Source organism: Homo sapiens, chromosome 17, assembly GCF_000001405.40.
Source record: "Homo sapiens chromosome 17, GRCh38.p14 Primary Assembly".
Lineage (NCBI taxonomy): Eukaryota > Metazoa > Chordata > Mammalia > Primates > Hominidae > Homo > Homo sapiens.
Genome location: NC_000017.11, coordinates 28,203,153 through 28,230,352, shown reverse-complemented (window position 1 = coordinate 28,230,352; position 27,200 = coordinate 28,203,153). Strand labels below are relative to the sequence as shown.

At 48.8% G+C, this 27,200-nt stretch overlaps 1 protein-coding gene, 1 long non-coding RNA gene and 1 pseudogene across 5 annotated transcripts in view, besides 3 other annotated features; 1 reads left to right on the top strand and 2 right to left on the bottom strand.

Annotated features, from left to right (window-relative positions):
• Positions 1,581–2,230: an enhancer, noted in NCBI's record as "H3K27ac-H3K4me1 hESC enhancer chr17:26555149-26555798 (GRCh37/hg19 assembly coordinates)". NCBI's record gives its function as "activates a minimal SCP1, AML or CMV promoter by ChIP-STARR-seq in primed H9 embryonic stem cells {active_cell/tissue: H9 hESC(primed)}" and the evidence as "EXISTENCE:reporter gene assay evidence [ECO:0000049][PMID:30033119]".
• Positions 2,231–2,880: an enhancer, noted in NCBI's record as "H3K27ac-H3K4me1 hESC enhancer chr17:26554499-26555148 (GRCh37/hg19 assembly coordinates)". NCBI's record gives its function as "activates a minimal SCP1, AML or CMV promoter by ChIP-STARR-seq in naive H9 embryonic stem cells {active_cell/tissue: H9 hESC(naive)}" and the evidence as "EXISTENCE:reporter gene assay evidence [ECO:0000049][PMID:30033119]".
• PYY2 (peptide YY 2 (pseudogene)) lies at positions 2,293–3,790 on the bottom strand (annotated as a pseudogene). Its single transcript, NR_003064.2, has 2 exons — positions 3,475–3,790; positions 2,293–3,047 (listed from the first exon to the last, which is right to left on the bottom strand). The product of NR_003064.2 is annotated as a peptide YY 2 (pseudogene) (transcript).
• On the top strand, positions 2,513–25,579 carry LOC105371710 (uncharacterized). 3 transcript variants are annotated; one of them, XR_934638.2, is made up of 4 exons: positions 2,513–2,586; positions 19,979–20,121; positions 20,878–20,941; positions 25,268–25,579. It is a non-coding gene; the product is annotated as an uncharacterized LOC105371710 (long non-coding RNA). The 3 variants fall into 3 exon arrangements; XR_007065685.1 differs by lacking the exon at positions 19,979–20,121; XR_007065684.1 differs by lacking the exon at positions 25,268–25,579 and having other exon boundaries at positions 20,878–21,754.
• Positions 3,531–4,181: an enhancer, noted in NCBI's record as "H3K4me1 hESC enhancer chr17:26553198-26553848 (GRCh37/hg19 assembly coordinates)". NCBI's record gives its function as "activates a minimal SCP1, AML or CMV promoter by ChIP-STARR-seq in naive H9 embryonic stem cells {active_cell/tissue: H9 hESC(naive)}" and the evidence as "EXISTENCE:reporter gene assay evidence [ECO:0000049][PMID:30033119]".
• Positions 24,279–27,200, bottom strand: part of NLK (nemo like kinase) — a 163,398-nt gene continuing 160,476 nt past the window's right edge. Inside the window, exon 12 of the transcript XR_934482.2 lies at positions 24,279–25,473. The gene's annotated coding sequence lies outside the window, so the exon portion shown is untranslated. The remainder of the gene's footprint in view (positions 25,474–27,200) is intronic.

Genomic DNA, 27,200 nt, shown 5'->3' with positions numbered 1-27,200 from the left:
GCATGGGAGTGAGACTCCTCAGGCATCAGCCCGGTGGATCATTTAGATAACTGCAGATCTGCCAGCCTCTGATGGTATCCGCATGTGAGACTCAAAGCGAGAACTGCTGAGGTGAGCGCTTCCTGGTCCTGACCCACAACATCATGAGTGACATACAATGGTTGTTTGAGGCTGCCAAGTTTTAGGGTAACTTATTATACAACATAGTAACCAGAGCACCTACCCTCTCCCTTCCCCCACTTGCCACTGGCTGGAACACAGATGAGGTCATGGCAGGCTGTCTTCAGTCCTGTCAATGACATAGATGAGGGCATGGGGAAGCCACAAATGAGGAGCCTGGGCTTTTGGATGCCCTCGTGGAGCAGAGAGGCCAGCTCCCCAGATGTCACTTGCATTTCAGGTAAGAGAAATAAATTTCCTTTCTGTTTAAGTCACTGTTAATTCTATCTGTTTTTTTAAGCCAAATCAATATCCTAGTAATATCATATATGTAAAACGAACAGCTCAGAGTCTAGCACATAAATAAGTGCTTTTTGGAAAAGGTAATTATTGCTATTATATTAATTATTATACTAATAATAGTTATTAATAATATTATTACCCTAAACTGCTCAACACTCTTCAAAATGAACATGAGGTGGACCCATGTCACTGATGGTCAATGAGACATGACAAGCTGGGCAAAAATTGTCTGTGGTCATGCCTAATTCATACCAGGTCTCTCTTCCATCCACCTTAAACTGACTACAGCTCTCCCAGGCAGACCAATAGATAAGGGATCACAGACACCAGCGCACAGACACATCCTCCCACTCCCCACCCACACAGTGAGCTGAAGCTCCGGGTAGCCACTGTATGCTCCCATCCCACCTGTCCTATCGCAGGAGAGAAGACAGGCAGCAAAATGGGATGGAAAGTGGGTCTAAGATAATGAGTGGGGAGAGGGAGCCAGAGAAACTAACTCCATCCCCAGGAAATCAGGCAAGGCTTCCGGGAGGAGGTGACCACTATCCTGAGAGTATCTTCCAGGCTGAAGAGAGGGAAAGGGCTCTCTGCAAGCAGGGACAGTGGCCTGGGCAAAGGCACAGAGCATCAGAATCCACATAGCCAGTGACCTACAGCTGCCTCTTCAGCTTCACCCTTTCAGCTCTACCTCCAGGGAGGCTGGAGGGCAGCACAGGGGAGGGTGGGTGTCAGAGCCCTGTGGCCCCCTGGGGACCTGTGTCCAAGCAGGGACCTCCTCTGCAGCTATGGCAGAGTTAGCTTTAGAGTCTTCTCTTCTTCCAGAGCCATGGAACTGCAAACAGTACTTCAAAACCCTGATCCACACAGGGATGCCTGCAGTCTTCCTGTCCTTTTCACCCTCTCTGGGTCAAAGGCTTTGGCCTCAACCCTGATTCTCCCCCTCATCTCCTAGCCCCCTGCAAGATTTGGGCAGGTCTTGCTGAACTAGAGGCCCAGGAGACATCCCATAGATACAGGAGGCTGCATCTGGAGACATCCCATAGATACAGGAGGCTGAGGAAGGAGACATAGGCCTTTCCTTCCTGAGGCCCCAGGAGGGAGACAAGACACAAAGACACAGACAGAAGTCTCAGTGAATAGAGCAGAGGCCCTGAGAGCTGGGCAGCCAGAGAGGGCAGGAAGAGTGCAATTAGGCAATCAAGGCAAGCTTCTTGGAGGAAAGGGGCAGGAAAGGGTGCATGTCAGGGGAGATCACCCTACAGGCAGGCTCTGGAATCGGTGCAGAATGGTGAGTTTAAACATCCACAGCGCCCTTAGGCTTCAGTATCTAGTCCAGGGGAGGGGGGTACATGGGAGGGTGTCCCTATGGCCTTGTCACTAGGAAAGCACAATTCCTGACTTATCCACTGAGTGTGGATTCAGCGAGATGAGAGAGGGCGGTTTTTTAGCGATCGGGCAGCCTCCACACTCCCCATTGCTCCTCTGCTCGGGGAAAGGGGGACGGTAGAAATTACCTGCCTCTCCCGCGGCTCCTGTCCACGCTCCCTGCCCCTTTTTCCAGAAACCCATCCACCCCTGCCCCCACTCAACTAGAGTTCCTTCCACAGCAGCCCCTGGTCTGGGCGCTGTCCAGCCCCAGGCTGGGTGGTCGAATTTTCCTTGGGCTCCGAGCAGAGGGAACCCCCGCGCTCGCCCCAGCCTTGTCCTGGAGCGCCTCTGTCCGAGTAGGTTTTCTCTCCTCTGGCCCCCACGCCTCCACCCTCCACTTCCACGAGACGCCACCTCCACGAAGGAGAAAGGAAAGAAAATACAAAGGCACACATTCCGTTTCTGTGCAATTCGCTCTTTATTTTGGGACCAGGGAAGGACCACACACAGCCCTGCAGCTCAGGGGGCGGGGGCATCCAGACGCGGGACTGCAGTACCCGAACCCTGCCCAGACGCCGCTGTCCGGAGGCGAAATCCGGGTTTCCAGGGTCGGGAGTGAACATGTAAATGAGGTGGGCGTGGTCTGCAGGTCTCCCAGGAGGCCTCGGGTGTCCTCACCACAGGTCTGCGCCTCCGGCCTGCGGGATCGAAGGGAAAGGAATCCGATCCGGGGAGGCAAGCCTGGGAGACGTCGTAAGTGATGGACCAGGGTGGGGCCAGACCGCGCTCTCGGAGGCAGGATGTTATGTGACTTGATGGGGGCGCTTTTACCGCCACCTGCCGAGGCGGTCCTCGCAGTCTGGGAAGAACGTTTTGGAGAGGCGCGCGACCGGGCGGCCTAGTTTCCCATACCTGAGGGCGGGGCCTGGAAGGGCGCGGTCAGATCTAGCCACGCCCCCGGTGGAGCGGGGCCGCAGGGGGAGAGCCCCAGGGGTCCCGCTCCGCCCGCCCCGCGCCTGCGCTCACGACGGCTGAGTGACCAGGATGAGGTAGTGGCGAGGATAGGCGTAGCAGCGGCTCAGCTACCCCAGGAAGGCGTCTTCGCCGGGAGCCTCGGGTTTGATGGGGTAGGCGTCGACCAGCGCCCCCAGGTAGACGAGCAGGGCCAAAAGCACCGTGGCCATGAGAGGCCACGACCTGCGAACCGACACCACCTGGGAAGGCGACATTGGGGTGTGGGTCATTCCGAGCCTCGACCCTCCACGGCGGGAGGCTGCGGCTGCCGTCGGGGCCGTGCTCCGGTGCTCTCCCTGGGGCTGGTAGCGGACCAAGGTTCAGCCACCAGCTTGCCATATGTTCTCCGGCACTGCACCGTCTCCTGCCTCAGTTTCCTAATCTGTCAGAGGGACATAAGCCCTGCCTGACGTAACCCCACCCCCACCCCCGCTGCTGTCCAGAGAGGTAGATTAAAGAGGGTTGTGCTGGCAACGGGACTCCCGGGCCTCCTTCCCACCTCCAATGGCCCCCTCCAATCCAGTTTCCCACCACTCACCCCCAGCTTCCACCATCCCAGCCTCAGTTTCCCCACAAAACAGCCTGGATTTCCTAGTACCAGACCATGCTTGAGCTCCAGCCACTCACAGCGACAGCTTGTGAAGCAGATGAGCAGGAGGTGGAAGGCGAGGAAAGTTTCAAGGGCGCACTGGGACAGGTCAAGCTGAGGCCTCCTCTGCTCAGGGCTTTCCTTTCGGGGCTTATATCCCCGCCTGGAAAGGAAAGGGAGTCCCACGGGGAGGGGGAGCCAGCAGGGGGTGCGCCCTTCTTCCTCCTTCCACCCGCACCAGATCCTTGAGCTTACGCTCAGCCACTGTGTGACGTCTCCACCTCATAGGAGCTCAGGGGGCAGCTGCCATGCTCAGATTTGGGGTCCCACTGGATGGGGTACCTAGCCTGAACCCTGTGTTCAGCCCACAGCCCCGCAGGGGCAGGTCCAGCCTCCTGAGGAAGTGAAGTGGTTGGATTAGACTCCTGGGGCAGCCCCTAGGACCAGGAATGAGATTCTGTCTTCCCTAGCCAGTCCATGGTGGGAGTGGGGGGTGGGAGGGTAGACACATTTCTTCCAGCCTGTGGGATCTGTGACCACTCTTTCCAAAACACAACTCTTTTCAGCCTCTGCTCAGTAATACCTTGGAGAAGGGCTGAGGAGTGACAGGACCTCTGGGGGAAAGTCTTTCTCCTGGAGGCAGGGGTGGGAGCACCTGACCTTGGGCTCCTGGCCTGCAGTTTATGATATCCTGGGGGAGAGGCCTCTCTGAACACTCCGTTATGTTCTCTCTCCATTAAAGAGTTGGGAAAAGAGGCAGGAGGAGGCAGAAGCCAGTCCCCCAACCAGAAGCAGCTGAGTCAGCTACCTGTGTATCCAGCCTGGCACACAAAGACCCTGGTCCAGCCATGTGTGGCATAGAGCCCTCTCCCCAGGCAATGTCCCCACCCCTATGCAGGTGTCAATCAGGGCACTGGTGTCTTCTGGGCCTGAGTGATGCCAAGCCTTCCCAAGCACATGCCACTGTCCCCAGCCCATGGCAGTCTCCACTGGGCTCTGAAGCCCAGATCCTTTGAAGGAAAGGACTCATGTTTATTAAGCACCTACTGTGCACCGGGTAGTACATAATTTCGGACATCACAAAACAATGAGCTGAGTTTATCTCCATTTTCCAGATGAGGAAATTGAAGCCCTGATGAAGCAGCCAAAGTCACCCATGATTCAAACAGGAAAAGGAGGGTGAGGCAGACCCCAGGAAGAGGACCTCTCAATTGTGAGGGGCAGAAAGCCTCAGCACCTGGAGTAGCCATGTGGTGCCGGAGGCAGGCCTGGGAGCAGGGACCGGAAGCCTAAGTCTGGGGCCCACCACCCACTATGAGAGGCTGAGTAGGGGAAGGGCCTCCAGAATGCCAACCCCCTCAAACCCACCTGCCCAGTAGGAGAGAGGGCTGTGGGAAGGTCTCTCCATAAAGCCCTTCCAGCTTCCTCTCCCTGGCCTGGCCAGACCTCCAGTACTTCCAGATGTCCCATCAACCCATGGGGGCTGAAGGGGCCAACTTGTCCAGGCCGCTGGTTCTGAGCCAGCCCCTCCAGCCCCAGGACAGATGGCTGTGGGTGCTATTTTTAGAGCTCTCCTGAGAGGGAGAGTTCAGGGCTCTCTCAGTCACTCTTTTTTTTTTTTTTTTTTAAATTTATTTTTTTATTGATAATTCTTGGGTGTTTCTCACAGAGGGGGATTTGGCAGGGTCATGGGACAATAGTGGAGGGAAGGTCAGCAGATAAACAAGTGAACAAAGGTCTCTGGTTTTCCTAGGCAGAGGACCCTGCGGCCTTCCGCAGTGTTTGTGTCCCTGATTACTTGAGATTAGGGAGTGGTGATGACTCTTAACGAGCATGCTGCCTTCAAGCATCTGTTTAACAAAGCACATCTTGCACCACCCTTAATCCTTTTAACCCTGAGTGGACACAGCACATGTTTCAGAGAGCACAGGGTTGGGGGTAAGGTCACAGATCAACAGGATCCCAAGGCAGAGGAATTTTTCTTAGTGCAGAACAAAATGAAAAGTCTCCCATGTCTACTTCTTTCTACACAGACAGGGCAACCATCCGATTTCTCAATCTTTTCCCCACCTTTCCCGCCTTTCCATTCCACAAAGCCGCCATTGTCATCCTGGCCCGTTCTCAATGAGCTGTTGGGCACACCTCCCAGACGGGGTGGTGGCCGGGCAGAGGGGCTCCTCACTTCCCAGTAGGGGCGGCCGGGCAGAGGCGCCCCTCACCTCCCGGATGGGGCGGCTGGCCGGGCAGGGGGGCTGACCCCCCCACCTCCCTCCCGGACGGGGCGGCTGGCCGGGCGGGGGGCTGACGCCCCCACCTCCCTCCCGGATGGGGCGGCTGGCCGGGCAGAGGGGCTCCTCACTTCCCAGTAGGGGCGGCCGGGCAGAGGCGCCCCTCACCTCCCGGACGGGGCGGCTGGCCGGGCAGGGGGGCTGACCGCCCCCAACTCCCTCCCGGACGGGGCGGCTGGCCGGGCGGGGGGCTGACCCCCCCACCTCCCTCCTGGACGGAGCGGCTGGCCGGGCGGGGGGCCGACACCCCCACCTCCCTCCCGGGCGGGGCGGCTGGCCAGGCGGGGGGCCGACCCCCCCACCTCCCTCCCGGAAGGGGCGGCTGGCCGGGCGGGGGGCGGACCCCCCCACCTCCCTCCCGGATGGGGCGGCTGGCCGGGCAGAGGGGCTCCTCACTTCCCAGTAGGGGCAGCCGGGCAGAGGCGCCCCTCACCTCCCAGACGGGGCGGCTGGCCGGGCGGAGGGCTGACCCCCCCACCTCCCTCCCGGACAGGGCGGCTGGCCGGGCGGGGGGCTGACCCCCCCACCTCCCTCCCGGACGGGGCGGCTGGCCGGGCAGAGGGGCTCCTCACTTCCCAGTAGGGGCGGCCGGGCAGAGGCGCCCCTCACCTCCCAGACGGGGCGGCTGGCCGGGCGGGGGGCTGACCCCCCCCCACCTCCCTCCCGGACGGGGTGGCTGCTGGGCGGAGACGCTCCTCACTTCCCAGATGGGGTGGCTGCCGGGCGGAGAGGCTCCTCACTTCTCAGACGGGGCAGCTGCCGGGCGGAGGGGCTCCTCACTTCTCAGACGGGGTGGTTGCCAGGCAGAGGGTCTCCTCACTTCTCAGACGGGGCGGCCGGGCAGAGACGCTCGTCACCTCCCAGACGGGGTCTCGGCCGGGCAGAGGCGCTCCTCACATCCCAGATGGGGCGGCGGGGCAGAGGCGCTCCCCACATCTCAGACAATGGGCGGCGGGGCAGAGACGCTCCTCACTTCCTAGATGTGACGGCGGCTGGGAAGAGGCGCTCCTCACTTCCTAGATGGGATGGCGGCCGGGCGGAGATGCTCCTCACTTTCCAGACTGGGCAGCCAGGCAGAGGGGCTCCTCACATCCCAGACGATGGGCGGCCAGGCAGAGACACTCCTCACTTCCCAGACGGGGTGGCGGCCGGGCAGAGGCTGCAATCTCGGCACTTTGGGAGGCCAAGGCAGGCGGCTGGGAGGTGTAGGTTGTAGTGAGCCGAGATCACGCCACTGCACTCCAGCCTGGGCACCATTGAGCACTGAGTGAACGAGACTCCGTCTGCAATCCCGGCACCTCGGGAGGCCGAGGTTGGCGGATCACTCGCGGTTAGGGGCTGGAGACCGGCCCGGCCAACACAGCGAAACCCCGTCTCCACCAAAACCAGTCAGGCGTGGCGGCGCGTGCCTGCAATCGCAGGCACTCGGCAGGCTGAGGCAGGAGAATCAGGCAGGGAGGTTGCAGTGAGCCGAGATGGCAGCAGTACAGTCCAGCTTCGGCCCCGCATGAGAGGGAGACCGTGGGGAGACGGAGAGGGAGACGGAGAGGGAGACGGAGAGGGAGAGGGAGAGGGAGAGGGAGAGGGAGAGCAACAAGCTCTTAAACATGTGAGAATCCTTTGTGGTCATTTGTTACAGCAGCCCCAGGAAACTCTCAGTCACTCTTTTATGGGTTCAATCACCTGCATTCTCCGCAGATGGCTCCTTATCAGCCAGTCAGGCCCCATGGGACCACACATCCCAGGAAACACCAGGGTGCCCTGCTGAGCATGGAGGTGGAAGAGGACACCAGGACAAGGGGACATAGATCCTACCTTTGAAGGAAGGAGAAAAATCATTCTTCTTAGGGACCCCTCATCCAGGGGGCAAGGCACGGCCCTGTCCTTCAAGAACTCCAGTCTCAAAGAAAGGACATGGCTGTATCATGGGGGATCCTCAGTCTGAGGCGTTCTCAGAACACAGATACAGAGAGACAAACAGAGAGACAGCTGTTGTCCTGTTTGGAGGGGTGACAGCAGAAATCAAAGAATTCCACTCCTCCATGGAAAGACAAAAGACAGGTGCTCACCCTGGGATGGAGGGGGCAGTGGGAGCCTGTTAGTACATCTGTGATCCCAGGGGTCAGGGCCTACAGAAGGACCCTGCAGGCTAATGGGGGCAAGGATACCAGAGAGTAGGGGCCTGTTTGCTCTTCTGACCCTGCAGCACTAACCATGGGGGGATAGGGAGTTTCTAGTGCACTGATTCCAGGCAGAGAGATGGAGCCTGTGAGATGTCCACAGGGAATCTGACATCCCTGGAACCCCGTCATGTCTTGGGGAATATGGGGTCCAAGGACAGATGGGAAGACAGGAGAGACATTATAGAAGCTAAAGGGTATGGGATGGCCTGAATTTGGGCTACAACCTCTGAAGAAGTCACTTCCTCATTTATAGCCAAAGTAAATGGGCACCCAGATAGTCTCAGTGTGGACCAGGAGCCAGCCTCACACATCCCTCCAAGCCCTCCCTATCCATCATACTCCCACCCTCCAATTTCACTCCCCACTTACAGGGCAAGCCGATTGGTTCATTAATCACTGCCTCCTCATCAGAGAGCTTGTTAACTTGTTGATTAGTGGGGAGTATGTCTCAGTCCTCGGTCAATGGGCTTGGCTACATCCATCCACACACCCACACCCATCATTGATGCATGACTCAGTGGTCATGAGACATGTCTGGGGGTTGGGGGGCTGACATCTGTGAGGGCAGAAAGTTCAGACACAATTGTTTTTGTAGATGTTTGAGACCAGGGCCTGCCTCCAACTTGTCCTTGAAGGGTAGGGGACAGAATCACTAGGGCTTCCTTGGCCCCATTCTCAGAGCCCCGGGCAAGGCCACCCTAAGTCAGGGAGACCATGGACCTGGACCCTAGCCAACCATTCCCCTTGTCCGGTGGGCTCAAGGGTCACTCATCAAGGGGGTGTGGCCTCTGCCATTCATCCTTAGAGGTCTAGAATTTTGCACCCCATCACCCACCTGCCCGTACCCACTCCCCACACATAAGCCCTCTCTTTGATCATCGTGCACTGTGCAGCACTGGCCCACTGCCCTTCCGCCTGCAGGCATTTCCTCATGCCCAGGGTCCTGCAGACAGCAGATGGTCATACAGCAAGAGTAATTCGATCCTCATTCAACAAGCGTTTATGAAGTCCCTGCTGTGTGCCAGGCACTCATCTAGGGACTGGGATAGGGCAGTGAACAAACAGGCAAAACCCTTGCCCTCATAGAGCTCACATTCTAGTGACAGGAAATAGAAAATAAATCAATAAGCATGGAGGCTGGGCGTGGTGGCTCATGCCTGTAATCCCAGCACTTTGGGAGGCTGAGGCAGGTGGATCACCTGAGGTCAGGAGTTCAAGACCAGCCTGGCCAACATGGTGAAATCTCGTCTCTATTAAAAGTACAAAAATTAGCCAAGTGTGGTGGCACACGCCTGTGATCCCAGCTACTTGGGAGGCTGAGGCAGGAGAATTGCTTGAACCTGGGGGGCGGAGGTTGCAGTGAGCTGAGATGGTGCCACTGCACACCAGCCTGGGTGACAAAGTGAGACTCTGTCTCAAACAAATTAAAAATAAATAAATAAATAAGCATGGAATATATCTGATAAGTGCTATAGAGAAAAATCAGAGCTGGGTATAGTGGCTCATGTCTGTAATCCCAGTGCTCTGGTAGACCAAGTTGGGAGGTTCACTTGAGCCCAGGAAGGAAGTGACGAAGCAAACCATGAAGCTACCTTGGGAAGAGTGGGAGGTGGGTTTGGGAAACAGTGATGCCAAGAAGGAAGGGATTTTCACTTTTCGTGGTAGGCATTCTCCTAGAAGCTCTCCCTCTCACCTGAAGCTTCTGCAAACCACAGTAACAGATACCTGTGGCATAGTGAGCACCCAAGGCTCAGGCTTCGCTCTAGAACAGAGGTAGGCAAACTCTTTCTGTAAAGGACCAGATAGTAAATATTTTAGGCTTTGTGCTCCAGACAGTCTCTGTTGACACTGTTAGGCTTAGCCATGGTAGCTTGAAAGCAGCCACTGAATACACCAAAAAAAAAAAAAAAAAAGAATGGATGTAGTAGTGCTTTAGTAAATCTTTGCTTACAGACATTAAAGTTTGAATTTCATATAATTTTCATGGAATAAATATTTTTTTAAGTTTTTTTCAACCACTTACAGATTCAACCACTTTAAAAAGCCATTCTTTTTATTATTATTGAGCTCAAGGGATCCTCTGGCCTCAGCCACCTAAAATGCTGAGATTATAGCCATGAGCCACTGTGCCTGGCATAAAAGGCATTTTTTTTTTTTTTTTGAGACAGTCTCACTCTGTCACCCAGGCTGGAGTACAGTGGTGTGATCTCAGCTCACTGCAAGTCCCCCTTCCCGGGTTCAAGGGATTCTCCTGTCTCAACCTCCTAAGTAGCTGGGACTACGGGCGCCCGCCACCATGCCCGGCTACTTTTTGTATTTTTTGTGGAGATGGGGTTTCACCATGTTGGCCAGGCTGGCCTCGAACTCCTGACCTCAAGTGATCTGCCTGCCTTGGCTTCCCAAAGTGCTCGGATTACAGGTGTGAGTCACCACACCCAGCCCCTAAAAGGCATTTTTAACCCACAGGATGTATAAAAACAGGCCCACAGGGCCATAGTTTGCTGACCCCTGGTCTAGAAAAGCAAGAACTCAGCTACCTCTGCTCTGGGTTGAGTTGTCGGTTTACCAAGAGTTGATTGGGTGTGTCCCTAGCCTGTTTATGCCAGGTGTACTGTCATTGTAATCATATAATTAAATTAAATATTACATAAACTGATGAAATGTGAGTGCATAAAGAATTGTTTCCTTGCAAATGACGTTAAATGCTTTGGAAGTAATACACAAAAAGATTTGCTGACATGTTGAATTAGATGTGAAAGATAAACTATTCAGGGAAAATCCTAAAAATCTAGAACTGTTCTACATCAGATTGCTTCACAACTGTCTTTAAGTTTAAATAAATTGAAAATAATAGGTGATGAATTATAGGATTGTGGGTGTGATTTATGCAAGAAAGTCAAAGAGGGATTTGAGTCAAGATACCCAAAGAAAAACTAGTGCCTGAGTGTGAATTTTGTTTGAAGTCAAAACAAAGTGACCAGGACCTACACGTGTCTGTTTTTAACGATTGCCCACTTGAACTGACGTTTCCAAAAGACTGGTCAATGACTCAGACCTACTTATATCAAAACAAGGGCTTCTCCGGTATTTTATATATTTCCAATATAGTTTGAATGTTTTATGGGGTATTTCGTTTTCTTTCTTTCTTTTTTCTTTTTGAGACAGAGTTTTGCTCTTGCTGCCCAGGCTGGAGTGCAATGGCGCCATCTTGGCTCACCGCAACCTCTGCCTCCAGGGCCCAAATGATTCTCCTGCCTCAGCCTCCTGAGTAGCTGGGATTACAGGCATGTGCAAACACGCCCAGCTAATTTTGTATATTTAGTAGAGATGAGGTTTCTCTATGTTGGTCAGGATGGTCTCAAACTCCCAACCTCAGGAGATCTGCCCGCCTTGGCCTCCCAAAGTGCTGGGATTACAGGCGTGAGCCACCGCGCCCGGCCAGGGTATTTCTATTTAATGTCTTAAAGAACAACCAAAGAATTTTTAAAAACCAAATATAAACCAAATGCTGGTGTGTGTTGTGAAGCCTTAAATAAAATACTGTGAGGGGCCCTGGGCTCCAGTCCCGGGAAGCTCTGTGCACATCCCCTCCACACCAGTGCCCCTGTTCCCAGTCTGAATCCAAAACTTTTTCTAGGGTCCAACAGTCTCAAGAGGCCTGTGCTGCTGGTGCAGAAGCTCAAGTCCTGAAAGAAGCATGGATTCAGGGAGAAACAGTTCTGACCTGGTTCAGACACGGTCAGCTCCCTGATTCACCAGGCCCCTGTGGACTTGTGTCTTTGTGGCTCCTGGTATCTGATGTGGTGCTGGCACATGGTGGCTCTTAGGTTATTGAATTGATCAGTCAACAAGTGAACATATTAGTTAAAATATTGGTGCACCTGCCTTAATAGAGACCAAATAACAGTAACTTAAATACTATAGATATTTATTTCTCTCTCATGTAAGGGTCCAAGCTGGCAGCTGGGGGGTAGGGTGCCTCTGATCTACAAGGAGCCCAAGCACCGTCTTGTCTTGTTATTCCAAGATTGTGCACCCATCCACATGGTTTAAGAATGTACATTACCGGGCCTGGCATGGTGGCTCACTCTTGTAATCCCAGCACTTTGGGAGGCTGAGGCGGGTGGATCACGAGGTCAGGAGTTTGAGACCAGCCTGGCCAATATGGTGAAATGCTGTCTCTACTAAAAATACAAAAATTAGCCGAGCGGAGTGAGGCTTGCCTGTAGTCCCAGCTACTCAGGAGGCTGAGGCAGAAGAATCGCTTGAACCCGGGAGGCGGAGTTTGCAGTGAGCTGAGTTCATGCCACTGCTCTCCAGCCTGGGTGACAGAGAGAGACTCTGTCTCAAAAAAAAAAAAAAAAAAAAAAAAAAGAATGTTCATTACCCCACATTCATATTCCAGGCCACAGAGATGAGAAATAAGGAAGTAGAGGGCAAGCATTTTGCCATTTAAGAGTGTGGTGTGGTGAAGGTCAGGTTCCTGGCCCACATCTGTAATCTCAGCACTTTGGGAGGCTGAGACGGGGGGACCACTTGGGCCCAGGAATTTGAGACCAGTCTGGGCAACCTAGCAAGATCCTGTTTCTACCAAAACAAAAAATAAATTAGCCTGGTATGGTGGTGTGTGCCTGTAGTCACAGCTACTTGGGAGGCTGAGGTGGGAGGATCACCTGAGCCTGGGAGGTCAGGGCTGCAGTGAGTTGGGATTGCCCCACCGCACCCAGCCTGGGCAACAGAGCAAAACCGCATCTCAGAACAAAACAAAACAGAACAAAGAAGTGGGGGAGGAAGGAGCGTATCAGGAAGAATAGCTAATGGATGCTGGGCTGAATACCTACATGATGGGATGATTTGTGCAGCAGACCACCAAGGCACACATTTACCCATGTAACAAACCTGCACATCCTGTACATGTACCCCTGAACATAAAAATTGGAAATCAAAGAAAAAAAAAAAAGGAGTCCAGGTGCGGTGACTCATGCCTGTAATTCCAGCACTTTGGGAGGCCAAGGTGGGCAGATCATGAGGTCAGGAGTTTGAGACCAGTCTGACCAACATGGTGAAAGCCTGTCTCTACTAAAAATACAAAAATTAGCCGGGCGTGGTGGTGCACACCTGTAATCCCAGCTACTCAGGAGGCTGAGGCAGGAGAATTGCTTGAACCAGGGAGGCGGAGGTTGCAGTGAGCCGAGATTGCACTGCTGTACTGCAGCCTGGGTGACAGAGCGAGACTCCATCTCAAAAGAAGAAAAAAAAAGAAAAAAAAGAAGAAGACAAGTTTGTCGAGGAAGCTGCATTGCTTCTTGTGCTCCTATCCCATTGGCCAGAACGTAGTCATGTGGCCAACCATAGCTAGAAGGCACCTGGCCTCTGTTTTGTTCCATTTTCCCCAACCCTCATGTCACCCAGTCTCTGTCTTCTCTGCCTTCAGACTTACCTGTCCCTTACCACAATGAAGGCTGTATGGCTTCACCTCAGCATACAGCCTCCTCCTCCTCAACCCCCTGCCTGGAAGTGGGAGCCTTTTGCCCTACCTCACAAGTCTTTTCCTTTCACTCTTTCCCATCACTCTTAGTGAAAGAGACTGCCAGTTGTTCCCCAGTATCTATTTTCCCCTTCTTCCCTTATAATAGAATTTAGCTGAGCATGCAGCTTCCCAGCTAAAAACTACATTTCCCAATCTCCCTTGCAGCTGAGTGGCTTCTTGTGACTAAGTTCTGGCCAACGGATGTGAGCAAGAGTGTGGTGTGCCACTCCCAAAATGTGCTACTGGAAGGAATGGGGGTACCCTCTCACTCCTCTGTTTTCCAGGTTCCATGACCCTGAATGCAATGCCAAATGGAAATGTAAAAATGAGCCATTTTTGAGCTTTACTGAGGTATCATTAACCAATAAAATTGTATATACTTAAAGTGTACAATATGATGATTTGATATATATACATATTGTTAAATGATTACTACAATCAAATTAACACATCCATCACCTCACATTGTTACCTTTTCTCATGTGAGAACCCTTAAGATCTACTCTCTAAGCAGATTTCAAGTATGCAATACAGTATTATTAAATATAGTCACTCTGCTGTACAAAAAATGAGCCATTCTTGACCATGTGAATGAAGGAATCTTTTAGTCACAGGAGTGCCCTCAGACTGCCAGGACCAATTTGTCTGCATCACTCTGGAAATGCCTGGGACTTCCCCATTCCCCAGGGGCACCTTTAACCAATGACTGATGAATGCGGGGGTATACACACTTCAGTTTGCCTCTGATTTGTATGACTTGAGATGTGGCCAACAGGTGTTCCCTGGAAAGTGTGATGGGCATTTTTTGGGCGGCACACAGCTGCTGAAACAGCCATCACAATAGCAGGCGAGGGCAAGGGCACCAATGCCCTTATTCAAGTCTAAAGGGCCTGGAGAAGTTCTTGTCCCCTGAGCTCTCAGCACTGACCTGCCAGGACTCCCTTACGGTACTGAACCCACACTGGGGATAAACCACTAAGAGCAGGATCAAAATTAAGCAGCACAGAGACAAGAAAAGTGGGGGAGAGAGATCCAGATAAAAGGGGGAGAGAGGAACAGAGCCAGAAAAAGCTCAAACCAAAGCCACTGTCATTTTCACACTTCATGAAAACAATAAAAGGAAGAGATCTGTGAAGTTAGAAAAACTCTCTGATGAAGCCTCCTTCTGAAAATTCAGGAAAATTTATTTCACGTAAAAATCAGCACAGTAAAAGTATTAAGATCAAATCCCATACAAAACTATTATTAGAAATATAGCCCTGGCCAGGTGCAGTGGCTTATGCCTGTAATCTCAGCACTTTGGGAGGCCGAGGCAGGTGGACCGCTTGAGCCCAGGAGTTCAAAACTAGCCTGGGCAACACAGAAAGACCCTATTTCTACCAAAAATACAAAAAAAAAAAAAAAAAAATTCTGACATGGATGGTCAAAATAGAAAAAAAAATACAAAAAATAGCTGAATGTGATGGCACGCACCTGTAGTCCCACTACTCAGAAAGCTGTGGTGGGAGGATTGCTTGAGTGGAGGAGATCAAGGTTGCAGTGAGCTGTGAATGTGCCTCTGCACTCCAGCCTGGCAACAGAGAGAAACCCTGTCTCTACAAAGAAAGTTATATTACCATCACTTTTCTTTCTGTATTTTCTTTTTTGGGTGTGTGTGAGGGGACAGGGACATCCTGAGTAGCCGGGACTACAGGTGCAAACCACCACATCCAGCTAATTTTAATATTGTTTTATTTATTTTTGTTTTCTAAAAATCATTATTATTATTATACTTTAAGTTCTAGGGTACATGTGCACAACGTGCAGGTTTGTTACATAGGTATACATGTGCCATGTTGGTTTGCTGCCCCCATCAACTCGTTATTGGTCTATTCAGAGATTCAATTTTTTCCTGGTTTAGTCTTGGGAGGGTGTATGTGTCCAGAAATTTATCCATTTCTTCTAGATTTTCTAGTTTATTTGTGTAGAGGTGTTTATAGTATTCTCTGATGGTAGTTTGTATTTCTGTGGGATCTGTGGTGACATCCCCTTTATCATTTTTTATTGTGTCTATTGGAGTCTTCTCTCTTTTCTTCTTTATTAGTCTTGCTAGCAGTCTATGTATTTTGTTGATCTTTTCAAAAAACCAGCTCCTGGATTCGTTGATTTTTTTGAAGGGTTTTTTGTGTCTCTGTCTCCTTCAGTTCTGCTCTGATCTTAGTTATTTCTTGTCTTCTGCTAGCTTTTGAATTTGTTTGCTCTTGCTTCTCTAGTTCTTTTAACTGTGTTGTTAGGGTGTCGATTTTAGATCTTTCCTGCTTTCTCTTGTGAGCATTTAGTGCTATAAATTTCCCTCTACACACTGCTTTAAATGTGTCCCAGAGATTCTGGTATGTTGTGTCTTTGCTCTCACTGGTTTCAAAGAACATTTTTATTTCTGCCTTCATTTCGTTATTTATCCAGTAGTCATTCAGGAGCAGGTTGTTCGGTTTCCATGTAGTTGTGCGGTTTTGAGTGAGTTTCTTAATCCTGAGTTCTAATTTGATTGCACTGTGGTCTGAGAGACATTTGTTGTGATTTCTGTTCTTTTACATTTGCTGAGGAGAATTTTACTTCCAATTATGTGGTCAGTTTTAGAATAAGTGCGATGTGGTGGTGAGAAGAATGTATATTCTGTTGATTAGGTGTGGAGAGTTCTGTAGATGTCTATTAGGTCTGCTTGATCCAGAGCTGAGTTCAAGTCCTGGATATTCTTGTTAATTTTCTGTCTCGTTGATCTGTTTAATATTAACAGTGGGATGTTAAAGTTTCCATTATTGTGTGGGAGTCTAAGTCTCTTTGTAGGTCTCTAAGGACTTGCTTTATGAATCTGAGTGCTTCTGTATTGGGTGCATATATATTTAGGATAGTTAGCTCTTCTTGTTGAATTGATCCCTTTACCATTATGTAATGGCCTTCTTTCTCTCTTTTTATCTTTGTTGGTTTAAAGTCTGTTTTATCAGAGACCAGGATTGCAACCCCTGCTTTCTTTTTTCTTTCCATTTGCTTGGTAGATCTTCCTCCATCCCTTTATTTTGAGCCTATGTGTGTCTTTGTACATGAGATGGGTCTCCTGAATACAGCACACTGATGGGTCTTTACTCTTTATCCAATTTGCCAGTCTGTGTCTTTTAATTGGGGCATTTAGCCCATTTACATTTAAGGTTAATATTGCTGTGTGTGAATTTGATTCTGTCATTATGATGCTAGCTGGTTATTTCGCCCATTAATTGATGCAGTTTCTTCATAGCGTTGATGGTCTTTACAATTTGGCATGTTTTTGCAGTGGCTGATACTGACTGTACCTTTCCATATTTAGTGCTTCCTTCAGGAGCTCTTATAAGGCAGGCCTGGTGGTGACAGTATCTCTCAGCATTTGCTTGTCTGTAAAGGATTTTATTTCTCCTTCACTTATGAAGCTTAGTTGGGCTGGATATGAAATTCTCGGTTGAAAATTCTTTTCTTTAAGAATGTTGAATATTGGCCCCCACTATCTTCTGGCTTGTAGGGTTTCTGCCAAGAGATCCCCTGATAGCCTGATTGGCTTCCCTTTGTGGGTAGCTGGACCTTTCTGTCTGGCTGCCCTTAACATTTTTTCCTTCATTTCAACGTTGGTGAATCTGACAATTCTGTGTCTTGGGGTTGCTCTTCTCAAGGAGTATCTTTGTGGTGGTCTCTGTATTTCCTGAATTTGAATGTTGGCCTGCCTTGCTAGGTTGGGGAAGTTCTCCTGGATAATATCCTCAAGGGTGTTTTCTAATTTGGTTCCATTCTCCCCGTCACTTTCAGGTATGCCAATCAAATGTAGATTTGGTCTTTTCACATTGTCCCATATTTCTTGGAGGCTTTGTTTGTTTCTTTTCCCTCTTTTTTCTCTAACTTGTCTTCTCACTTTATTTCATTAATTTGATCTTCAATCACTGATATCCTTTCTTCTGTTTGATTGAATTGGCTATTGAAGCTTGTGTATGCTTCACGAAGTTCTCGTACTGTGGTTTTCAGCTCCATCAGGTCATTTAAGCTCTTCTCTACACTGGTTATTCTAGTTAGCCCTTCGTCTAACCTTTTCTCAAGGTTTTTACTTCCTTGCAATGGGTTAGAACATGCTCCTTTAGCTCAGAGAAGTTTGTTATTACCGACCTTCTGAAGCCTACTTCTGTTCATCAAACAGAATGAGTTCATCAAACTCATTCTTCGTCCAGTTTGGTCCCTTGCTGGCGAGGAGTTGTGTTCCTTTGGAGGAGAAGAGGTGTTCTGGTGTTTGGAATTTTCAGCCTTTCTGCTCTTGTTTCTCCCCATCTTTGTGGTTTTATCTACCTTTGGTCTTTGATGTTGGTGACCTATGGATGGGGTTTTGGTGTGGATGTCTTTTTTGTTGATGTTGATGCTATTCCTTTCTGTTTGTTAGTTTCCCTTCTAACAGACAGGCCCCTCAGCTGCAGATCTGTTGGAGTTTGCTGGAGGTCCACTCCAGACCCTGTTTGCCTGGGTATCAGCAGCGGAGGCTGCAGAATAGCACATATTGCTGCCTGATCCTTCCTCTGGAAGCTTTGTCCCAGAGGGGCACCCACCTGTATGGGGTGTCTGTCAGCACCTACTGGGAAATGTCTCCCAGTCAGGCTACATGGGGGTCCGGGACCCACTTGAGGAGGCAGTCTGTCCATTATTGGAGCTCAAATGCCATGCTGGGAGAACCACTGCTTTCTTCAGAGCTGTCAGGCAGGGATGTTTAAGTCTGCAGAAGCTGTCTGCTGCCTTTTGTTCAGATATGCCCTGCCCCCATATGTGGAATCTAGACAGGCATTAGGCCTTGTTGAGTGGCAGCAGGCTCTGCTCTGTTCGAGCTTCCCTGCTCCTTTGTTTACACTGTGAGCATGGAACCACCTACTTAAGCCTTAGCAAAGGTGAATGCCCCTCCCCCTGCCAAGCTTCAGCATCCCAGTCGATCTCAGACTGCTGCGCTAGCAGCGAACAAGGCTCCGTGGGTGTGGGACCTGCCAAGTCAGGCACGGTAGGGAATCTCCTGGTCTGCTGGTTGCAAAGACTGTGGGAAAAGTGCAGTATTTGGGCAGAAGCGTACCATTCCTCCAGGTACAGTCACTCATGGCTTCCCTTGGCTAGAAAAGGGAAATCCCCCAACCCCTTGTACTTCCCAGGTGAGGCGATGCCCTACCCTGCTTCGGCTTGCCTTCCATGTGCTGCACCCACTCTCCAACCAGTCCCAATGAGATGAATCAGGTACCTCAGTTTGAAATGCAGAAATCACCCATCTTCTGCATCAATCTCACTGGGAGCTGTTTCAATCCGGCAATCTTGGAAGGGACCTTATTTTATTTTTTGAGACAGAGTCTCACTTTGTTGCCCAGGCTAGAGTGCAGTAGGGTGATCTTGCCTCACTGCAACCTCTGCCTCCCAGGATCAAGCGATTCTCCTGCCTCAGCCTCCTGAGTAGCTGGAATTACAGGTACCCGCCACTGCGCCCAGCTAATTTTTTTTATTTTTAGTAGAGATGGGGTTTTGCCATGTTGGCCAGGCTTGTCTTCAACTCTGACCTCAGGCGATCCGCCTGCCTTGGCATCCCAAAGTGCTGGGATTACAGGCGTGAGCCACCGCATCCAGACAATATTGTTTTATTCTTTTATTTCTGCAGAGATAGAGTCTCACTATGTTGCCCAGGCTGGTCTCAAGTTCTTGGGCTCAAGCAATCCTCTCACCTCTACTTCTTAAAGTGGTAGGATTAAGGTGTGAGCCCCCATGCCCAGCCTCATCAGACTTTTTGACAGCAATACTCTACACAAGAAGGAAATGGAATGTATATTTGAGATGCTCAAGGAAAGAAAACGTGAACCAAAGATTTTTATACCTAGCTCTACTGATCTTCAAATGCATAACCAAACTTTATCAGCATGCAAGATCTCAGGGAATATTATGCCCATGAGCCCTTCCTGAGGAATCTACTAGAGAATAAACCTCCGACAACCAAAATGACTAGAAAGACATTGTCATAAGGACTGGTGATGAGCATGAAGTTTAGTTTCATAGAACTAATACTAAATAAGGATTAAAAGGAAGAAAGTGTATTATGTAATGGTTATATACTCTAACAATATATATAGTAAAACCAGAGAAAAGTGGGCAGGGGGAGCAAGGGGGTAGCATATGCAAAAAAAAAAAGAAAAAAAAACAACAACTGTTTTCAGTAATAACTGGTGGTGGCAGTCAGTATTGTTTTTCTGAGACTTCTGCATAATATAGATCAAACAAATGCATATTCTAAAATAAATGGGATATTTAATGCTTTCATCTCCTGTGTCCTTGAGAACCAGAATTTACAATGTGGAAGAAAGGGGTTACAGATGTAATACAGAAGAGGTTAAATAAACACCCATCAGTCCTGAATTTGATTTGGAAATCTCTGTTTACTGAAAAGGCCTAGAAACAATGTTGAAACCAATGGCAATGAACATCCATAGCATCTAGACTGGTCTTTTTTTCCTTTCCTTTTCTCTTTTTTTTTTTCCAGCTTTATTCAGGAATAATGGACAAATAAAAATTCCATATATTCAGCTGGGTGCAGTGGCTAACACCTGTAATCCCAGTACTTTGGGAGGCTGAGGTGTGCAGATCGCTTGAGGTCAGGAGTTTGAGACCAGCCTGGCCATCACGGTGAGACTCAATCTCTATAAAAATACAAAAAATTAGCCAGGCATGGTGGTGCATGCCTGTAGTCCCAGCTACTCGGGAGGCTGAGGCAGGAGAAGCACTTGAACCTGGAGGTGGAGGTTGCAATGAGCCAAGATTGTGCCACCACACTCTAGCCTGGGCAACAGAGCGAGACTCTGTCTCAAAAAAAATTGTATATATTCAAGGGGGTTGAATATTTATTATTTAATTATTATTAATTTATTATTAAATTTATTATTTAATATACATATATTAAATAATGTATACATTATTTAATGTAATGATTAATGATTATGTAATGATTACCACAATCAAATGAACACATCCTTCACCACAAAGTTACCATTTATTTGTGTGTATGTGTGTGGTGAGGACACTTCCGATCTGCTCTCTTAGCAAATTTCAAGTAAACAGTACAATAGTATTAACTCTAATCACCACACTTTACCAGAATTCCCATGCTTTACCATGATTCCCAGAATCTATTCATCTTGTAACTGAAAGTTTGTACTCTTTGACAAACATCTTCCCATCTCCCCGTCCTCATCCAGCCCCTGACAACCACTGTTCCTCTCTTTGCTTCTGAGTTTGTGATTTTTTTATATTCCACATATAAGTGAGATCAAATTGTATTTGTCTTTCTGTGTCTGGCTTATTTTAATTAGCATTAAAACGCAACATGTTCATCAATATTGTCACAAATGGCAGGATTTCCTTCTTTTTTTTTTTTTTTAATAGCTGAATGAACTGGGATTTCTTGGAGAAGTGGTAGAGCCAAGCTCTGGAACCGGAAATACGCAAGGTGAGGCTGGAACACGTTGTCAAATCAGAAAACAAGAGGCTTCGGGCATGTGGGCATGTCCAAAGGACTAAAGAACCAACCTGAATAAGCTCCCTCTGGCCAAAGATGGACTTAATGAGCATCATCATGGTAATAATTGTAATGGATTAGGGCCAGGTGCAGTGGCTCATGCCTGTAATCCTAGAACTCTGGGAGGCAAGGCAGAAGGATCACTTGAGCCCAGGAGTTTGAGACCACCCTGGGCAAAATAGTGAGACCTCATCTCTACAAAAACCTTAACAATTTAGCTGGCTTGGGCCGGCTGTGGTGGCTCAAGTCTGTAATCACAGCGCTTCGGGAGGCCGAAGCAGGTGGATCACCTGAGGTCAGGAGTTGGAGACCAGCCTGGCCAAAATGGTGAAATCCCGTTTTTACTAAAAATACAAAAATCAGCTGGGCATGGTGGCGGATGCCTATAATCCCAGCTACTCGGGAGGCTGAGGCAGGAGAATCGCATGAACCTGGGAGGTGGAGTTTGCAGTGAGCCGAGATCATGCCACTGCACTCCAGCCTGGGTGCAACAAGAGTGAAACTCCGTCTCAAAAAAAAAAAAAAAAAAAAAAAAAAAAAGAACTGGCTTGATGTGCATTCCTGCTCCCAGCTACTCAGGAGGCTGAGGTGGGAGGATGGCTTGAGCTTGAGAGGTTGAGGCTTCAGTGAGCCATGATCGCAGCACTGTACTCCAGCCTGGGCATGAGAGCAGGATTTTGACTCAATAATAATAATAATAATAATAATAAATAAAATGTAATGGGTTGAAACCTGTCAAACACATTTAAATGCTTGAGTTCATTTTAATATTTTTCATTATCTTGAAAACTGGATAAACAAGGAGAAGGAATCAAGCATTTATCTTGACTGTCCTATATGAACTGGATAGCCAGACAGTAGATGAGGGCAAGTTATTCTTTTTTTTTTTTTTTTTTGAGACGGAGTCTCGCTCTGTCGCCCAGGCTGGAGTGCAGTGGCGGGATCTCGGCTCACTGCAAGCTCCGCCTCCCGGGTTCACGCCATTCTCCTGCCTCAGCCTCCCAAGTAGCTAGGACTACAGGCGCCCGCCACTACGCCCGGCTATTTTTTGTAGTTTTAGTAGAGACGGGGTTTCACCGTTTTAGCCGGGATGGTCTCGATCTGCTGACCTCGTGATCCGCCCGCCTCAGCCTCCCAAAGTGCTGGGATTACAGGCGTGAGCCACCGCGCCCGGCCGAGGGCAAGTTATTCTTTATAAACTTATTCCATCAATCAATAAAGATAAAGGATAGAATTAGAAAATCATCACCATTTATCACCACTGGCCCTCCCCAGCATATTAATGGATCTACTCATTGAGTATCAATATCTGTTGTCATCAAAAGAAAGAGATGGCTGGGCATGGTGGCTCACACCTGTAATCCCAGCACTTTGGGAGGCAGAGGTGGGAGGATCACTTGAGGCCATGAGTTTGAGACCAGCCTGGGCAACACAGCAAGATCCCCATCTCTACAAGAAAATAAAAATAAATAAAAAATAAAAAGAGAGCCAGGCACGGTGGCTCACACCTGTAATCCCAGCACTTTGGGAGGCTGAGGCGGGCAGATTTCTTGAGTCCAGAAGTTTAAGACCAGCCTGGCCAACATGGCAAAATCTCATCTCCACTAAAAATACAAAAAAATTAGCTGGGCATTGTGGGGCACACTTGCAATCTCAACTACTCAGGAGGCTGAGGTGGGAGGATCGATTGAACCCAGAAAGCAGAGGTTGCAGTGAGCTGAGATCGCACCACTGCACTCCAGCCTGGGCAACAGAATGAGACTCCATCTCCAAAAATAAATAAATAAATTAATTAAAAGAGAGGCAGCCAGACATTATGAGTCTCCTGGTTAACACACCAGCACCTATAGTTTTGCCAAACGGATTGACCCTGAATTTGATCATGCCTCTGGATCCAGCTGCCAATTTGCGGAAATAGAGGACAGAGGAACTTACTGAACTGCATCATGAGTATGCAGTCATCCAAATCTGGACTGTGGGAAACTTGACAGGTCAAACAGCCCAGATTCTTCTACAGATAAGTTGTAAGAAAAAGAAAGGGACAGAAGAGGAAACTTCAGATTAGAAGAAATCTTATACCCAATGATGTTGAGGTGAGAAGAAGAGGAGTAGGAGGACTGGGAGGAGGTGGAGGACAAGAAGGATAAGGAAGAAGAAGAACCTTAAAATGAATCAGATTTTTGGCCAGGCATGGTGGCTCATGCCTGTAATTCCAGCATTTTGGAAGACTGAGGTGGGCAGATCGCTTGAGGTCAGGAGTTCAAGAGCAACCCGGCCAACATGGTGAAACCCCATCTCTACTAAAAATACAAAGATTAGCCGGGCATGGTGATGTGCACCTGTAATCCCAGCTACTCGGGAGGCTGAGGCAGGAGAATCGCTTGAATGCAGGAGGTGGAGGTTGCAGTGAGCCGAGATTGTGCCACTGCACTCCAGCCTGGGCAACAGAGTGAGGCTCCGTCTCAAAAAAAAAAAAAGTATCGGAATTTTTAAAATAAGCAAGACTAAACTATAGTGTATAGAAATGCACATGGGAGATAAAACCATAAAGAAACAAGGAGTGATTATTGAAAGTGTCAGGTTAGTAACAGTCACTTTTGGAGTGGGGCCGGGGTGGGGCTGTGATTGGGATGATGCACACAGAGGGACTTCTGGGTGGGGAGGGCCTGGCAAAGTTCTATTTCTTGACCAGGGGTTTGGGGTGTTCATCTTGTAACTCATCAAGCTTGTGGTAAGGGACAGGTAAGTCTGGAGGCAGAGAAGACAGAGACTGGGTGACATGAGGGTTGGGGAAAATGGAGCAAAACAGAGATCAAGTGCCTTCTAGCTAGGGATGGCCACATGACTATGTTCTGGCCAATGGGATAGGAGCACAAGAAGCAATGCAGCTTCCTCATCATACTTTTCTTTTTTTTTCCTTTTTTTTTTTTGTTTTTTGAGACAGAGTCTTGCTCTGTTGCCCAGGCTGGACTGCAATGGGGTGATCTCAGCTCCCTGCAACCTCCACCTCCTGGGTTCAAGTGATTCTCCCACCTCAGCATCCTGAGTAGCTGGGATTACAGGTGCTTGCCACCATGCCCAGTTAATTTTTGTATTTTTAGTAAAGACGAGGTTTCACCATGTTGGCCGGGCTAGTCTCGAACTCCTGACCTCAGGTGATCCACCCACCTCGGCCTCCCAAAATGCGATTACAGGCATGAGCCATTGTGCCCTACCTGTTTTACCTGGTTTTCTATATCAGTGTTTTGTTTTACAATAAAAATGGAGGTTTTTGTTGTTTTGTTTTTATTGTATATATTTAAAGTATACAACATGATATCTTGATATACATATACATACAGAAATGACTACTAGGGTCAGGCAAATTAACATATCCATCACCTCACATAGTTCTGTGCGTGTGTGTATCTAAAAGAGCACCTAAAATGCTCTCTTATCAAATTTCCAGCATGCAATACAACATTACTAACTGTAGTCCTCTGTACATTGAGATGTCTAAACTTACTTGCATGGATGAACCTAGGAGGCATTATGCTAAGTGAAATAAGCCAGACACAGAGAGAAAAACACTGCATGATCTCATTTATACATGGATTTTTTTTTAAGCTAAATATAAAGAAACAGAGTGTAAAACAGTGGTTACCAGGGGCAGGGCATGGTGGGGAAGAATGAGGAGATAGAGGTCAACAGTACCATAAAAAGTTTTAAACAAAAGTATCCATCAAGAAACAAAAAACAACCAAGAAACAACTAAAATAATTCTTTCTCTTTCTAGCCATTGTAACTACAAAACACAAAGTGATTTTTTACTGGCTTTTCCTGTTTCTTCCCTTTGACATTGGTGCTCCCCAAGATGAGATCTTTGGCTCTCTTTTCTTGTTTCTTCTTGTTTCTCTTTTTCACCATGGAGTTGTCATCCACCCCCAAGATTTTAACCACCCCTGAAATCTGTGTCATTGCTCCTCTGCTGAGTTCCTGATCCACACTGTCCACTGTTTCTAGACATATCCCCATGGATATCTCTCAGTCAGCTTAAAGTTAATGCAGCCTAATAGCAAAAATAATAAATCAAGGTTTCTCAAGTGCCTACACTGTGCCAAGTACTATTCCAGGTACGTCTCACATATTATCTTAGTCTTCACCACACATAATGTGCCATCATTAGCCCAGTTTTACAGATATCAAACTGACACACAGAAAGGTCAAGTAGTAGCTCACCCTTATCTTAGCTTGTTTTCTGAATTCCCATATCTTCAGGGATCTCCAGCTCCATGAATGGTATCTCCATCTCTTCAGGTGACTGAGTTGGAAATCTTGGCTTCACTCCACCAATGACCTGAGTCATTCTTAGAAAGTCTGAAGAAGGAGCATGCAGCTCTGAGGGTGGCAGCAGGTCCAGGAATTGGAATGTGACCACAGGGGAATTCTTCATAAAGGGCTGAACTTTACTGGATGAGTTTCCCCTGGAATACCAGGAAGTCATATGAAATCACAGTTTAGGAAGTGCATTCAACAGTATATGGCAGACATCATTTCGTGTTAATAAATATATCCAGCCCTGAACCCCAACACTCCCAATTCTCCTTATCTGCCCTGTTTATTCCCTAGGACTTACCACTTTCTAGCACTCTATGTAATTGATTTATTTGTATGTTTATTGTCTGTCTACTAGAATGGGGGCTCCATGAGGGCAGAGGTTTTTGTCTGTTTCTTCACTGATGTATCCCCAGTGCCTAGAATAATGTGTGATACATGGTGGGGGTTCAAGTAATACTTGCTGAATGAATGGATCCACATCCTCACTTTCAATGGCTGCATGGCTTACACACAGGCGCATATATAAGCATGTATACACACATACACACACATGCACATGTCTTGAAGACAGAAGTCTATTCCTATCCCACCACAGTCCAGATCTTCATCAAAGAAGAAAGCAGTTCCCTAAACACTACGCACTCTTCCATCATACACCATGCAGGTTAAAGGGAGTGAGATACCAGGCCCTGTCCACAACACATAAGCCCCATACCTCACCCCACAGAACTGTTGTGTTCAGCTCCCTCTAAAGCTGCAGAACTAGCGGCTCAGACCACAAACTCTGGGGCTAGGATGACTGGGTTGGCCACTGACTAGCTGTGTGATCTTGGGAAAATTACTTATCCTCTAGGAACCTCAGTTTTGTCATCTGTCAAATATAAGAAATACCTACTTCATATAATTGTGACAGTTTAAAAAGCTATTAGGTTCCAGATGAGATGGAGTAAGCACCCTCCACCCTGTCTCTTCCACTGAATGCTGCTGTGAAACATGGACAGACATGCACAGGGCAGCTCTCTGAGAAGTGTGAAACTAAAAACAGCGGGGAAACGAGGGAAGAAAGCCAGAAGTCAGCGTTCCACTGAGCTGAAGCAAGTTTCTCATTTTCTCTCTGATATTCCCCAGCCTGGATACAAGACAGCCCCAAATCCAGAATGGGCACTGGGGCGACGAGAAAGATCAACAGGGCCGGGCGCAGTGGCTCATGCCTGTAATCCCAACACTTTGGGAGGCTGAGGCAGGTGGATCACCTGAGGTCAGAAGTTCAAGACCAGCCTGGCCAACATGGCGAAACCCTATCTCTACTAAAAATACAAAAATTAGCCAGGCGTGGTGGCAGGCGCCTGTAGTCCCAGCTATGTGGGAGAGTGAGGTAGGAGAGTCACTTGAACCCAGGAGGCGGAGGTTGCATTGAGCCGAGATTGTGCCACTGCACTCCAGCCTGAGCGACATGGTGAGACTCCATCTCAAAAAATAAAAAAAAGAAAGAAAGATCAACAGGGGAAGTGCTGGCTCTGCCTCGAGGAGTGGAAAGGGAAGGTCTAGCACTGAGACAGAAGAGGAACTCAATTTTTCTTTTCTTCATTCTCCCGTGCTCCAGCCCCTAGACAATTCCATGAGAGTGACAGTGGTGATGGTAGCATTAGTGGCTGCAGGGTCCACAGACACCCAAAACTTTGAGGAACGGAAATCTTTCCCCCTCTGATTGAGAGCTGTGGGCCAGGGGCAGTGGATCATGCCTGTAATCCCAGTACTGTGGGAGGCCAAGGTGGATCACTTGTGGCCAGGAGCAGGAGACCAGCCTGGACAACAGACTGAGACTGTGTGTGTGTGTGTGTGTGTGTGTGTGTGTGTGTGTATGTATGTATAT